Here is a 15,180-nt window from a genome sequence, read left to right on the forward strand (position 1 = left end):
AGAAAGCACATGCAGTTGCAGCCATAAATCTATCCTGTGCCCAAGGTGGGGCCATGCGAGAGAGCTATAGTCAATAATAATTTAATTGTACATTTAAAAATAACTCAAGGAGTATAATTGGATTGTTTGTAACACAAAGGATAAATGCCTGAGGAGAAGGATACCCCATTCTCTATTATGCAATTATTATGCATTGCATGCCCGTATCAAAACACCTCATATTCCCCATAAATATATACACCTACTATGTACCTACCAAAATTTTGAAAAAAAGCAATCCCATTTGAAATAGCTACAAAAAGGTACCTGGGAATAAACTTAACTAAGGATTTGAAAGCCCTCTCCAAGGAAAACTAAAAAATTCTAATGACACAAAGTGAAGAGGATGCAAACTAATGAAAAGACATCCCAGGCTCACAGATCAGAAGAATTAACATCATTAAAGTAAGAAGACTGCCCAAAGCAGATTGAGTGCAATACTTATCAAAATGCAAATCTAACTGACGCCTGATGATCAGAGGTGACATTCTTTACAGAAATAGAAATAACAATCCTCAAATCCATATGGAAACACAAAAGACCCTCAATAGGCAAAGCAATCCTGAACAAAAGAACAAAGCTGGAGGCATCATACTACCTAACTTCAAAATATACTGTATCAAGCTATAGAAACCAAAACATCATGTCATTGATATAAAAAGACACATAGACTAATGGAAAAGAACAGGAAACCCAGAAATAAAACCACATATTTACAGCCAACTGATTTTTTGACAAAGGTGACAAGAATATACATAGGGAAAAGGATACCTTCCTCAATAAATGGTGCTGGTGTTTTACTGTCCCTTCTGTATGGAGCTTTGGACCTGAACCTTTTATGACACTTCCTAATCAGTATAAATGTAAATTTGCATAGTACACAAATGCATTCACAGACATACACATATAGACATGCATGAATAATAAGAGAGACCATTGATCAGCATGTTTCATGTTGGCCACTTGTGGACAGTGATTTCATCCAAAAAGAACATACGTTTTAAACATCTGAGTAGTTTAAGTTAGAAAAAAATGATGAAAGGAAAACAAGAAAACAGGATAAGTGTCCTCCAAAGAGCAGTAGCTGATGACCATACGTTGTAAACAGCCTGACTTCGACAGTGAGCGATAGGGGACATGTAATAAAGCCTGGTAGAACCCAAGAAATCCAGTGTGTCCACAGGCAGACAGGTGTATAGTATGGACCGATGTTTCTACAATTTAGGGTGAACCTTTCTGTCCCCAGTTAGTTGTGAAAATAGTTTTTAAAAACAGTTTTAGCCTTTTAAGAGTAATTTTCTAGTCCCTTCTGTGCTTTGAAATGTTAAGGATCAATTTTAGGGGCAAGTTCCCTGTTGGGAGATCCTTGTTTTCAGGATTTGAACATGTGAATGACTTGCACCACATACTGCCGGCAGATGGGGCACTTGCTCATGCGCTTGCTACACTTGGTGCAGGTGATCATGTGCCTGCACTCAAGCAGGTAGAGGAATTTTCAGAGGTTCTAATAAATGACATCTCCCAGAAGTGTGTATTTCGTTTAAACATTTTGTGTGCAAGTGTCAGAAATCCAGTGGTGTTTTCTGAACATCAAAGCAGGAGATTTGATTATAAGGATACAGGAGTGTATCACAAACCCTCAGGGCAGGAATGATACTGGACCTCCAGTATCATTAGAATTAGAAAGCTCTCAGAAACCAATTCTAGGTTCACCTGGCAGTTCTGTGTCTCTCATCTCTGTTTTTTCTTTCTTTACAAACAGATTTTCTCTGCTCTACTGTCCACCTAGTGGAAAATATGGCTGCCTATAGCTAAAGAGGTTTCATGGTACGTATCAGCCACCCAGCAAATTTAAAACTCATTATGGATCTCAATTTCAAAGTGGGTCAGGGGCCTGTCCCCACCCTAGGACGAGTCTACTGTGGCCAGAGGAGCAGGGTTATGCAGGTGATGCATGGCAATGAGTCAGGCATTGTCATGTGCTGAGGACACAAGGATGAATGACAGGGTCCCTGCACTCAAGTTGTTCACTGTCTAGAAGACAGAAACAAAATCAGAAAACTTAGAATCCAACGAAGTAAGTACTTTATGAACAGTACTGTGGGTTCCACAGAGGGAAAAGTAATTTTGCCAAAGTATTAGCAGTCGAAGTAACACTACATCTGGATTTTAAAGACAGAATATAAATTTGTTGTAAGAAAAGGGGTGTGGTAGTAGCAGAGAGAGGTTAGAGGTTAGGGCAGGGGTCCCCAACCACTGGGTCACAGACCTGTACCAGTCTGCGGCCTGTTAGAAACTGGGCAGCACAACAGGAGGTGAGTGGCAGGCAAGCAAGCATTAGTGCCTGAGCTCTGCCACCTGTCAGATCAGCAGCTGCATTAGATTCTTATAGGAGCACAAACCCTATTGTGAATTGGCATGCGTGGGATCTAGGTTGTGCGCTCCTTATGAGAATCTGATTCCTAACGATCAGAGGTGAAACAGTTTCATCCTGAAACCATCCCTGTACTGCTTCCCGTCTGTGGAAAAATTCTCTTCCACAAAACTGGTCCTTGGTGCCAAAATGGTTGAGGACCGCTGAGTTAGGGCATTTTAGAAAAATAAATGATATGTGCAATGGGCCAGAGTCTGAGGATAGTGGGAAGTTCATTGTGATTGAAGAATAGAGTGAGAGGTGAGAAGGGAGGTAGAATGACAGGAGATGAAGCAAGAGAGGAATATTTTGTATTTTGGGGAGGTGAACTCACATGTATACTGAAGAGGTCAGATTGTATTTTATAGGCAGCAGTTTTAAAGGACTGACATGATCAGGGCTCTTATGTGTTTTTAATTTTTAGGTGAAACTCTGCCACTGGTAGGACAGGCAGATGTAGTTCATTATGATGAGAAAGAACAGAATCTTACTATTTACTAGTTCATAAACATGTTTTGATGTGTACCAATTCAGAGGAGCAATCCAAGCCTTTCCAACTATGACCTTGGATGTCATTCTATCTCTCGGCACTTCAGTTTCCTCATCAATGTCCTCATCTATAAAATGGAGGATAATTACTTACAAGTTATTATGAGATTAACAGAAGAGAGCCTAGTACATAGTAGGCACTACAAGTGTTACCTGTAATTTTTTTCCTATCCTCTGAGCTATGCTCAGGGTCCCAAGCTCTATCTTGTCACAGCCACATATGGTGCAGGCTGGGGATACCTACTTAACGGCTTCATTCTTACATATCTGTGGTGTGTTCCTATGCTAAATGACCTCCTTCTCATAATGCGTAAGCAGAAGAAGGAACCAATGAGGTGATTTCTACCTCAATAGGTATTGGAGTAGACAGAAGAGCCTGGTGTCAGGATGACTCATTAGAATAGTCTGAAAGAGAATGATAACAGTGGGTCGTGGGAATAAAGAGGAGGTGGCTGTGATCAGGAAGATATTCTGAGATAAAAAATCAGTAAGATTGTGTGCCCAAATGCATGCGGAAATTGAGGAAAAGTGATGAATTGTAATTTACCATGTGTGTAAGCAAGATGAATAGATCTTTTGACTCTACTGGATCAACTACTTTGATTTTTAAAAATCCTAGATTTCAGTTGGCTTATTCACTTGTTCCATTGGTAGCACAAGTTAGACAAAAATAACTGGCATGATCTCCACTCAGCCCTTAAGAAGAGTAGGAAAAGAAAATTAGCCAGGTGTGATGGCGTGTGCCTGTTTTCTCAGCTACTCAGGAGGCTGAGGTGGGAGGATTGCTTGGGGCTAAGATGTCAAGGCTGCAGTGAGCTATGATTGCGCCATTGAACTCCAGCCTCAGGGACACAGTGAGACCCTGTCTCTAAGAAAAATAAAAATAAATTTAAAAACACAATAGATCTACTGCCCCATCACTGACAATTGTTGAAGGCAACAGCTACTAACAGTGAAACTATATTTATTTCTTCCAGCTTTACTAAGATATAACTGACAAACAAAATTGTACCCAAAGGATTATAAATCATTCTACCATAAAAACACAGGCACATGTATGTTTATTGTGGCACTGTTCACAATAGCAAACACTTGGAACCAACCCAAATGCCCATGAATAATAGACTGGATAAAGAAAATGTGGCATGTATACATCATAGAATACTATGCAGCCGTAAAAAAGGATGAGTTTATGTCCTTTGCAGGGACATGGATGAAGCTGGAAACCATCATTCTCAGCAAACTAACACAAGAACAGAAAACCAAACACCACATGTTCTCACTCATAAGTGGGAGTTGAACAATGAGAACACATGGACACAGGGAGGGGAACATCACACAGCGGGGCCTGTCGGGGGGTGGGGGGCTAGGGGAGGGGGAGCATTAGGAGAAATACCTAATGTAGATGACGGGTTGATGGGTGCAGCAAACCACCATGGCACGTGTATACCTATGTAACAAACCTGCACGTTCTGCACATGTATCCCAGAACTTAAAGTATATTAAAAAAATTAAAAAAAAAACACAATAGATCTACTGTGCCATTACTGACAATTGTTGAAGGCAACAGCTAGTAACAGTGAAACTATATTTATATCCTTCCAGTTTTACTGAGATATAACTGACAAATAAAATTACACATATTTATGGTTTAAGCATTTTGATACATGTATATATTTTGAAATGATCTAATGTACAGCGTGGTGACTATAGTTAATAATACTGTACTGTATATTTGAAATTTGCTAAGAAAGTAGAACTTAAGTGTTCTCACCACAAACATACAAACATAAAGGAAACTGAATAAATGAATATACTAATTATCTTGATTGTGGTAATCATTTCACAATGTATACATATATCATTTCACAATAAATTATATTTTTAATATAGGGCAAAGATTGAATTTTTTACTGGATAATTGGAGCATATATTATACAATATATATTTTCGGCTGTTTCTGAAAAAAATATTCAACAGATTCTCATAGAATAGTGTCACAAGTCCAAATGTGAGGCATCAAAAAGGTTTCATGTGTGGAAATTAGTAGCAGACTCCATGCTGCAACGTCTAAAGACTGCCTAGATAGAAACATTTTAGAGGTTAAAAAGCATTAACAATTTTATCATAGATTGGTGATAATAAAGTAGGCAATCTAAGTCGTAAGATTATAAATTCCCTCCACTCCATGGTACTCAATAATGCCATTTTCATTTTTAAATTTTTAACTAAGGGGAAGAGAGAGGGAGAGGGGCTGACTCTGTAAACATGTTTATTCTTCCTGACCTTGCCCTGTGCCAGTGTTGCTCAGCCACACTACCTCTTTCTCTTTCTTCCTCTGGCCTGGGAAGACATCAATCAAAGGTAATAAATTTAAACAGGTGATTTTTAGAGTCCCTGGTTTCAAAACATTATAAAACAAAGTATATAGGACTGAACTGAATCCTATAGGACCTCCTTTTCAGAAATAGTGGAGGGTAGTTATGTTGTAAAGGAAGAAACAATGTACAGGTAGGTTATTATTATTAACCTATATATTATTATTAACCTTTATCTGTCATTTAAAAAATTTACTATGAAAAATTTTAAACACAATAGAAAATACATAATAGAAACAACTCCCCATATATCATGTATTTAATCATTAATATTTTGTTCTACTTATTTCATCTATTTTTAAAATCTGAGATATCTTTTAAAAATTAAAATTTTCTCATTCAACACTATTAATATGAATTCCTTATATCAACTATCATCCAGTAAATGTTCAATTCCCTCTGATTGTCTCAAAACGGTCTGGATTTTGCTTTAAAAAAAAAAAAAGATGTCAGTCTGGGTGCTGTGGCTAATGCCTGTAATCCCAGCACTTTGGGAGGCTGAGGTGGGCGGATCATTTGAGGTCAGGAGTTCCAGACCAGCCTGACCAACATGATAAAACCCCGTTTCTACTAAAAATACAAAAAAATTAGCTGAAAAAAATTAGCTGGGCATGGTGGCCTGCGTCTGTAATCCCAGCTACTTGGGAGGCTGAGGCAGGAGAATCACTTGAACCCGGGAAGCGGAGGTTGCAATGAGCCCAGATCACATTACTGCACTCCAGCCTGGGCAACAGAGCAGGACTCCATCTTAAAAAAAAAAAAAAAAAAAAAAGATGTCATTTGTTCAAAACAAGGTCAGCATGTTGCAGTTGATATCTCTAAAATCTCCTTTAGTCTGTAATAATGCTTCCTCCATTTTTTTTCCTGTGCCAGTTAATTGTTGATAAAATTGGGTCATTTGTCCTGTAGAATTTTACACGTTGTATCTTCATGATGTCACTTAGCATGCTTTCCTGTCCCCCTCATGCCTGTAAGCTGGTAGTTAAAGCTAAAGGCTTGATTAGATTTAGGTTCATTTTATTTTTTTATTTTGGCAAGAATTCTTCCTAGGCAATGCTGTATACTTTCTATTTCAACACACAAGGAAACTTATAATGTCTGCCTTTCTACTTATAATAATTTTAAGATTGATCAGTAGGTTCGAGTGATGCCTTTCAACTACAGGTTTTAGCAGTCATTGATAATCATTGCCTAGGTATATTATTATACTATATTGAGTTTACAAAACAGTGATTTTTCTAATTCTATCATTCCTCATGCATTTATTAATTGTGATTCTTCTACAAGAACTTTCCTTTAACAACTATTTGGATATCCTGAAATACAGTCTTTACAGGACATATATGATAATTGCTTCCTTCTCTTTATTTATTAGTTTCTAGAACAAAGAGTGCCTTAGCAATCTTCATGGCTGGTCAATGAGGTTCGTTTGCTTTTTGGAGTATCATTATTCACTCTTGATGTTCAAATGGCCTTATCTGTGACCAATGGGAGTTCCTTCACATTGGTTCTTATGTTCTTTTGACATAACACCAGTAGCCTTTGCCAATTTTCTAGCTAGAAAATATATTAGAATGAAGTAACTGCATCTTGAGTGTATATTGATTTTTTTTTGGGGGGGGGTATAATTGAAATCCAAACACTGCACATATTTAATCTGTACAATTTGATGAGTTTGAGCATACGCATACACTGATCTGATTCAAACTAAAGAGCACAGGGTTTTTACTTATCTTTGTTTGTATATTATTTTCTTGTTCTAAATGTTAATAATCCCATCAACATTATCTATCACAATAAATATTAGCACTATCATCAAGTCCACTCAATAAAGTTTAAGATTTCTTTGTGTTCTCTACCCATCTCCATATCTTACAATATATACTTAAATACTATGCTTGTATTAGTCCACTTTTGCATTGCTATAAAGAAATGCCTGAGACTGGGCAATTTATAAAGAAAACGGGTTTTATTGTTTCACAGTTCTGCAGGCTGTACAGGAAGCATGATGCTGGAATCTACTTGGCTTCTGGGAAGGCCTCATGAAACTTACAATCATGGTGAAAGCAGAAGCAAAAGAGAACTTTTAAATGACCAGGTCTCGTGAGAATTCACTCTCTATCATGAGGTGAGTGCCAAGAGGACTGTACTAAACTATTCATGAGAAATATGCCCTTATGATCCAATCACTTCCCACCAGGCCCCATCTCCAACATTAGGAATTACAATTCAACATGAGATTCGGGTGGGGACATAGATCCAAACTATACCAATGCTTTAAAGTCACCTAATTCTACATACAGTTATGCCAACAACTCAATACATGGTTATTAATGGCTTCACATTTTACGGATTGCTTTTGGTTTCAAAGCCAAAACTATAAAACAAGGTACAAAGAGGTCTAGCTTCCATTCCTCCACCCTGCCTCCTCCCTTTCACAATAGATGACTATTTAAATATGTGTTTTGGAATGCCCCTACCTTTCTCACACAAAATGAAGATATACATGCACATTTGTGTATATTCTTCTGTCACTTAAAAGTGTATTCTGGTGATCACATAAGCAGTAGTTTCCTAATTCCATCTTACAACTGCATAGTACTCCATTGTAAGAGATGAATCATAGTTTATGTAACTAGTCACCCGTTGATTATTACCTTTCATATCTGAACTGCACTTTATAAAACATCAATGTAACCCAAAGTCTGAAGTCACTATTTTTGGAGGTCCCACATGCCACCTAAGAACTTGGCGTTGGATTACTAAACAGATTCAAATTTTAAATACAACAATACGTGAATACTTGCTAGTTATAAAAAACTGGAAAACTAAAACAATTATGTAGAATTAGAAGTCTTTTCATTCTCCTCCTACGAATACTAATCTCTTCCCAACATAACCAGTTACCATTTTAGTATGTAACTTCCCAAAAATTTTCTATGATAGGCATATATATGTAATAAACACAGGGTTTTGATTTTTACACATATATACTTACCATTCTGTGACTTGGTTTTTAAACATGTTGGAGATATATTTCATACAGATGCACCTCACTTTTCGCAGCTGCATAGTATTCTATACTATTAAATGCCTATATTAACAATTCAAGCCAGTCTCCATTTAATGAACATATAGGTTATTTCAAAAATTAAATAAAACCATAAAGCTATAGTGTGGAACCTTGTATTTTGTGCACATGTACAAAACATTCTATAAGCTGGGTTTTTAGAAATGAAAGTGTTTGGCCAAAGGCTATCTGTATTTAAAGTTTTGATAGGTTTTGATTTGCATTTCTGATGCCAAATAAATCATTCTACCAAAAAGACACATGCACTCATATATTCATCAATGTGCTATTCACAATAGCAAAGACCTGGAATTAATCCAGGTGCCCATCAATGGCAGACTGGATAAAGAAAATGTGGTACTTACACACCTTGAAATGCTATGCAGCCATTAAAAAAAAAAAAAAAAAAAAAAAAAGAAGACGAGATCATGGCCTTTGCAGCAATGTGGATGGAGATGGAGGCCATAATCCTAAACAAATACAGGAACAGAAAACCCAAATACAGCATGTTCTCACTTGTAAGTGGGAGCTAAACACTGAGCACATGTAGACATAAACATGGTAATAACACAATGCAGCCTACTAGAGGAGGGAGGGAGGGAGGGAGGGAGGGGGACACACATTGTAAAACTACTTACTGGGGTGCAGCACACCAACATGGCACATATATACATACGTAACTAACCTGCACGTTGTGCACACGTACCCTAAAACTTAAAGTATAATAATAATAAAAAAAAAACTACTTACTGGGTACTATGTTATCTGGGTGATGGGATTCATATCCCAAACCTCAGCATCATGCAATATTCCCATGTAATACTCCTTCATATGTACTGCCTGAAGCTAAAAGTGGCACTGAAAAAATTTGTAAATATTAAAAATAATGCCATTTTAATAATCTGCAAAAAAAAGTTTTGACAGGTTCTGCCAAATTGTCCTTTGAATATGCTGTAACCTACTTATGTACTTTCTTACTCACAATGTATGAGTGTCTTTTCCCCTACATCCTTACCACCCTGGCTATTATCAGTATTTGGGATTCTGCCAACTTGATAAACAAAACATATCTCCTGGGTTTGTCTGCATTTCCTTGATTGTTATGAGACTGGATTTTATTATATAGCTTTAAGATGTTAATTTCCAGAACTTTCAGGATGGTATTGACATATTAAAATGTGATTTCAACACAACCTTGGGCAAACTTATTTTACTTTTAAAAATAAGAGAAAAAATGCTATGTTAATAGTACACATAGAGCAGTAGTTTCTAACATATTTTAGAAATGGAAATGGAAAAATTAAGTGCTAGTATTTCACCTTTTCAAGTTCTGGAGAAAATGCTCGGCTAAGTTGGTACACTCATTCTATTTTTTTCCCCACACATAAAAATCCTGAATAGGACAATTCACTGAGGCTTCTAGATCAGTTACAGTGTCCACCTCTAAAGAATGTTTCTTTTAGGAGTCAACTGTCTCATTGACAGGAGGAAGATTTACACATGCAAGTCCTATTAATAGGAGTTACAAGCACAAATCCCCCTTCAACGATAGACCAAAAAGACCCTACAGTCTACCAGGATCCAGGTTCTAATGATTACCTGTCATATTGTCCTAGGAGTCATCATCACCAGAAAGAGCAGACATGGCAACTTATACCACAAGGGTATCTCATTGCAGCCCCAAAGCTAAATTGTGCATCAATGGAAAGAAAAGTAGCCTTCAAAATGTGACTTGGGATACTAAGTGTTAAACCACTTAACCAGTATTTTTAAACAGCCATCATTAAAGAAAATTCAAACATTTGGAACCATTTTTTTTAAAGTGTGAATATTGTATGAGTTTCAAGGTGCTTGAAGGATAATACAGCTATTTATTTAAAAATTCAATTAATCTTATCTTTCTTAAAATTGATTAATTAATAATCTCACAGATAAGCTGCCAGTTTTGAGAGTCCTGTTATCTTTTTAATGTCTCCTTACTGAGGAACTTTAGAAACTACTTGAAATTGACAAAAAGTGTGAGTCTGCTTTAATTATTTGACTCAATAGCAAATCATAGTTTAGTGTATAATTTCTGCATAAAAAGAACATCAGCAGTCTCTTGTCTCTTGCAAATGAGTTGCTGGGGACTCAAACCCCTTAAAGAAAAACATTTCAGGTTCTCATTTACAAAGCAGATATGAAAAACCTTTCAGATTCTCATCATGTAAGTGAGATGTGAAAACAGTCTGTAGGCAATCAATGTACTGTAAATTCACAGCCCATGCCGCACAGCCTCTACAGCACTGATTCCAAACAGAGAAAGGTATCATCCACCTTTGTTTGATATTGGCACTAATGTTGGCATCTAGAACAGTTTGCAAAGTAGCTCATGCCCCTATATTATTTCATTGCCTTTCTCACAAACTTAGCACAGTTGGCAGATGCCTAAAAACAAAACCAAATATACAGCTTGACAATTAAGTATTTACATACTAGACTAATATTAAAACATAAATCAGGTTAAAGGCAATCTTCAAATTCTTGGCATATATAAAAGATGCAAGTATTACAAAATATGACACCATGACTGAAAAGGATTTAAAAGTCTTTATTTCCTCTGAAAACTTACTGGTAAAGTATACAATTTATGAATAATCATATATTCATGCTTTTTGAAATATATCTGAATAAAAGACAAATTATTCAATATCAATAGCAGTAAATAACTTATTTGCAAGAAAATTATTACAATTCCTACTGTAAAGAATCACCAACCACTATTTAGCAATTAAATTTCAACACATTTTTTTTGGAACTCTTTAGGACTTTAGACAAAGGCTACCAAGGCTGACAATCCAGGTAACTATGGCAGTGACAGAAGTCAATCATTAATACTGCCATTATTTTAGACAAAGGGCTGACAATCTCAGAAACTAGTTCTAGAAATTATCATCAATGTGGCCATTTTACTATGGACAAATAAATATGGGAGATAGGGAACTTGTTACTCCATTTTCCTATAGAAAAATATATAAATTGACCTTTTATATATACACAGGTATGTATACACATACAGTATATGTTTTTCTGAGCAGGCACACCAACTAGGAAAAAATACAATAGCAACATAGGATTAGGTATTGCTTCTCATACTGATCACTAAACTAAATGGTATTATCATTTTCGGTTAATAAGAAGCATGCATAACTAAACAGTTTAAATACTTGAATCAAAATTCTTTAATAGCATTTTCTGAAATTTTAAATTAGCTACTGAAAATTTTCCACTATGTACAATATATTTTATTAATATGATTTCAAGCTTAAGGTTTTATAACAAGACTTTTCTTTTTGATTTAAAACTATAAGAACAAATATTTATTTGCAGTAATTAGGATAGCTAAAATCAAAGCTCTAAGAATAATTTCTGTTACATTTTGAGGCAACAGGAAATATATAAAGTTCTTAAAGTCTTTTATCAGTTGTATGATATTTTAATCATCATGAATCATGTTCAGGAACTTTTAAACATTTCAATCATATTTAATAAATGACCTGAAAGAGAGATTCTGATGCTAATGGATGAAACAGGGTACAATAATGGACCACAAACTATCTCCTCCATTGTTCTACATATAGGTGGCTGCAGTAAGGCCAATAGAATTTTTGTGGTTATTCTAGGCCTACCCTGATTGTCTGTTTACATGAATGTGCATGCTGCATTCAAGCGGCTTTAACTCTAAGACCGTAACAGTACAATATCTTTATTGGCACAATTTACTGCAATTGTATTCAGACTCAATCGTCTCATCTACTGGAACCTTTTATAATATATTGCTGATATCCAGGGGCAAGGCCAATATCCGGTACATTAATAAGTATGTATTAGACATTGAGTGCATATGCCCCAGCTGGGTTTCAGGAAACATGATTTGATATAAGAAAAATCGAATCCCTATGACAAAGTAGGTTATAATGTGATCCTACTGTCCCTGATTTGTGTGACATTATAAAAGGGGAAGTGAGGGAAAGGGGACTAAAGAGATGGGGAGGGGCTGTACACTGGGAGGTAGGGATAGGAGCAGCCTGAGAGGCTAGTAAGTTAAGTTCTTCCATTACTCTGGCTTGAACTATATCTGCAGTGGGTAGAAAGGTGAGGCAAGAGCTATATTCCTTGGTTCTTTCCATTTCCCATGAATCTGTGACCTGCCACAGCTGGCTTCCTTTAAGAACATCTCTGAAACCTGGTGAGGTCAGGGACCAGCTGCAGTTGAAGTATGTAAGAACTATGTACTTTACATTGGAGCCATGGCTTCCTGACAGACAATATAGGCCAGATGTTGTGAGAAAAAAAAACAAATAGTTCATTTGTTTGTTTATTTATAGGCAATTATAAGTCTCAACTATTGCTCAAATAAAGTAGACCATCAGAGCTTGGCCATTTGAGAAAATTTAAATATAGGCAACATCACTGCAGCTTAGTTTGCTGCCTATGTACAGCCCCCTTTTTTTTTTTTTGTGAGACAGAGTCTTGCTCTGTCACCCAGGCTGGAGTGCAGTGGCAAAATCTTGGCTCACTGCAACCTCCGCCTCCCTGGTTCAAGTGAGTCTGCTACCTCATCTTCAAAGTAGCTGGGATTACAGGTGCCCACCATAACACCCAGCTAAAATTTTGTATTTTTAGTAGAGACAGGGTTTCGCCATGTTGGCCAGGCTGGTCTCGAACTCCTGACCTCAAGTGATCTACCCACCTCAGCTTCCCAAAGTGCTGGGATTACAGGCAGCCCTAACGTTTTTATGTAGTGTATATTAGGGCTTACCAACTGTCATACACAATTTGGAGTCCTTGGTGGTTGCAGGTTTACCTACCAGAAAAGGAATAAAACAATTTATAGAGTGTTTTCCTTAGTAATATTTCAAAACCACAATTCTACTTGTTACTATTTTTACTGGTCTGTAAGACTATAAAATACTACTTTAAAAAAGAAATTTTCATTTAAAAAGCTTAATGCAATAAAAACACTGTGATCTATTTTGTTTGGAAGTTGACTGACAGCAAGCAATTATTTCCTGCGTGAGACTTTTGAGATTCATCAAGTCAATGGGAAAATTCTAAAACAATTTTCTTCTGGCAAACCGATTCTAAACATGGCATTGCATTGTCTTCATAACCATTCTCATATAGTAGGCATAGTAATACTATTTCCACTTTATATATGGAGAAACGTAGGCTCAGAAGTTAAACAATTTACCAAATATCATCAGTAGGACAGCCAGGATTAAATTAGGTCTGTAGACAATTAGCCTAATACTCTAGTTACTTGACAGACAGAATATTCAAATACCAATGAGCCTATCCACACCTTTCCTTCCATTCTTTCATTTCTTCATTATTGACCTTTCCCAATATGTAAATAATTTACAAACAAATATCACTACTGATACTAAAAAACACTACTGACTTATTCGTAAAAATGTCTAAACACCTTTATATTAGCATTTTCAATGCTTCTCAACATAGAAAGCAAAACAAACCTGTATTCCAAATACAGGCTTCTATCTAGATCATGATACTTTAGTTTTTCTATATGTTTTTATCATTATGTTATGATGCTCTTGTCCATAAAGAAAATAAAATTCAAATAACCAAAGAAAATACATGAGCTGGTTCTGAAAATGTGGCTTTCAAACAAAGATCCAAAGTGGTAAGCAAAATTGTCCTAAGACCATGGAATTATTAACAATGCATAGGATCACTTTCATATCCACAGTTACATTCCTGAGAATCAATTGATTTATAATTTTCATCTGCTAGTCACACAAGTTTGGTATTTAAAATGAGCAAGTCAATGTGCTTTATAAGTGTTGTGTGTTCTTGGAATGTCCTCTATAAGGAAAATCCCCTTTTGGATTTCTATTACCTATTTTGCCTTATAATTGCTGCTGCTTTCTAACATTTCTCAAACAGTCCTTCTATCAAGTAGACTCTGAGACCAGTCAGAATTTCCAAAGTTGGGTATCCAGTTTGGTGTATATCCATTATTCAGAGGACTCCTCTAGGTTTCCAAGGTTTGTGCTTTCCTTGAAAGTCTCCGAGTTAGCCTCTGGTATGGCACTGGATTCTGAAGCCTCTGGCTGTAAACTGTCTCCATCAAGGATAATGTCTTCAGGATTTGGTGGAGGGGGACAGAAATCTTCATTGGGGCAGATTTCCTGGAAAAGTGTTTCAGCCTGGCCAAGGAAGAAAAGATAAAATCGTTTTTGGAAATCGGTTTAAAATGTGTGTGCATTTCTGGCATTAACTAAAAAAAAATAAGTGTTTTATCCTTAAAAATTTGCTTAAACAGGCTACAGTACTTAATCAGAATACATGAACTTCCGTAAGTCTGTTTTCAGAATTCTATGACTTCTCCCTTTAATTCTATACATGTATTGAGGTCCACTCTTCAAGGATGGCAGTACCTCATCAGGTTCATTATCAAGTGTTCAGATTGTTGAGAACTGAAATACATTCATTCTATATATCAATAGAAATACAATTTCCTTAATATTGTTTATATGATTTCTTATAGAGCCTTGATATGGTTTGGTTCTGAGTCCTCACCCAAATCTCATCTCAAATTGTTATCCCCACGTGTTAGGGGGTGACTAGATTATGGGGGCGGCTGTTCCCATGTTGTTCTTGTGATAGTGAGTTCTCAGAATATCTGATGGTTTAAAAGTATTTAGCAGTTCCCCCTTTTCTCTTTC

General features: G+C 36.3%; 1 protein-coding gene across 7 annotated transcripts in view; it reads right to left on the reverse strand.

The window, feature by feature from the left end:
* The window catches only part of CHM (CHM Rab escort protein), a 186,379-nt gene continuing 182,218 nt past the window's right edge, over nt 11,020-15,180 (reverse strand). For all 7 annotated transcript variants that reach the window (NM_000390.4, XM_047441793.1, NM_001362519.1 and 4 more), the window contains one exon: nt 11,020-14,661. In NM_000390.4, the coding sequence (NP_000381.1) occupies nt 14,470-14,661 (192 nt within the window). In that variant the 3' untranslated portion in view covers nt 11,020-14,469. The remainder of the gene's footprint in view (nt 14,662-15,180) is intronic.

This window comes from Homo sapiens, chromosome X, assembly GCF_000001405.40.
Source record: "Homo sapiens chromosome X, GRCh38.p14 Primary Assembly".
Lineage (NCBI taxonomy): Eukaryota > Metazoa > Chordata > Mammalia > Primates > Hominidae > Homo > Homo sapiens.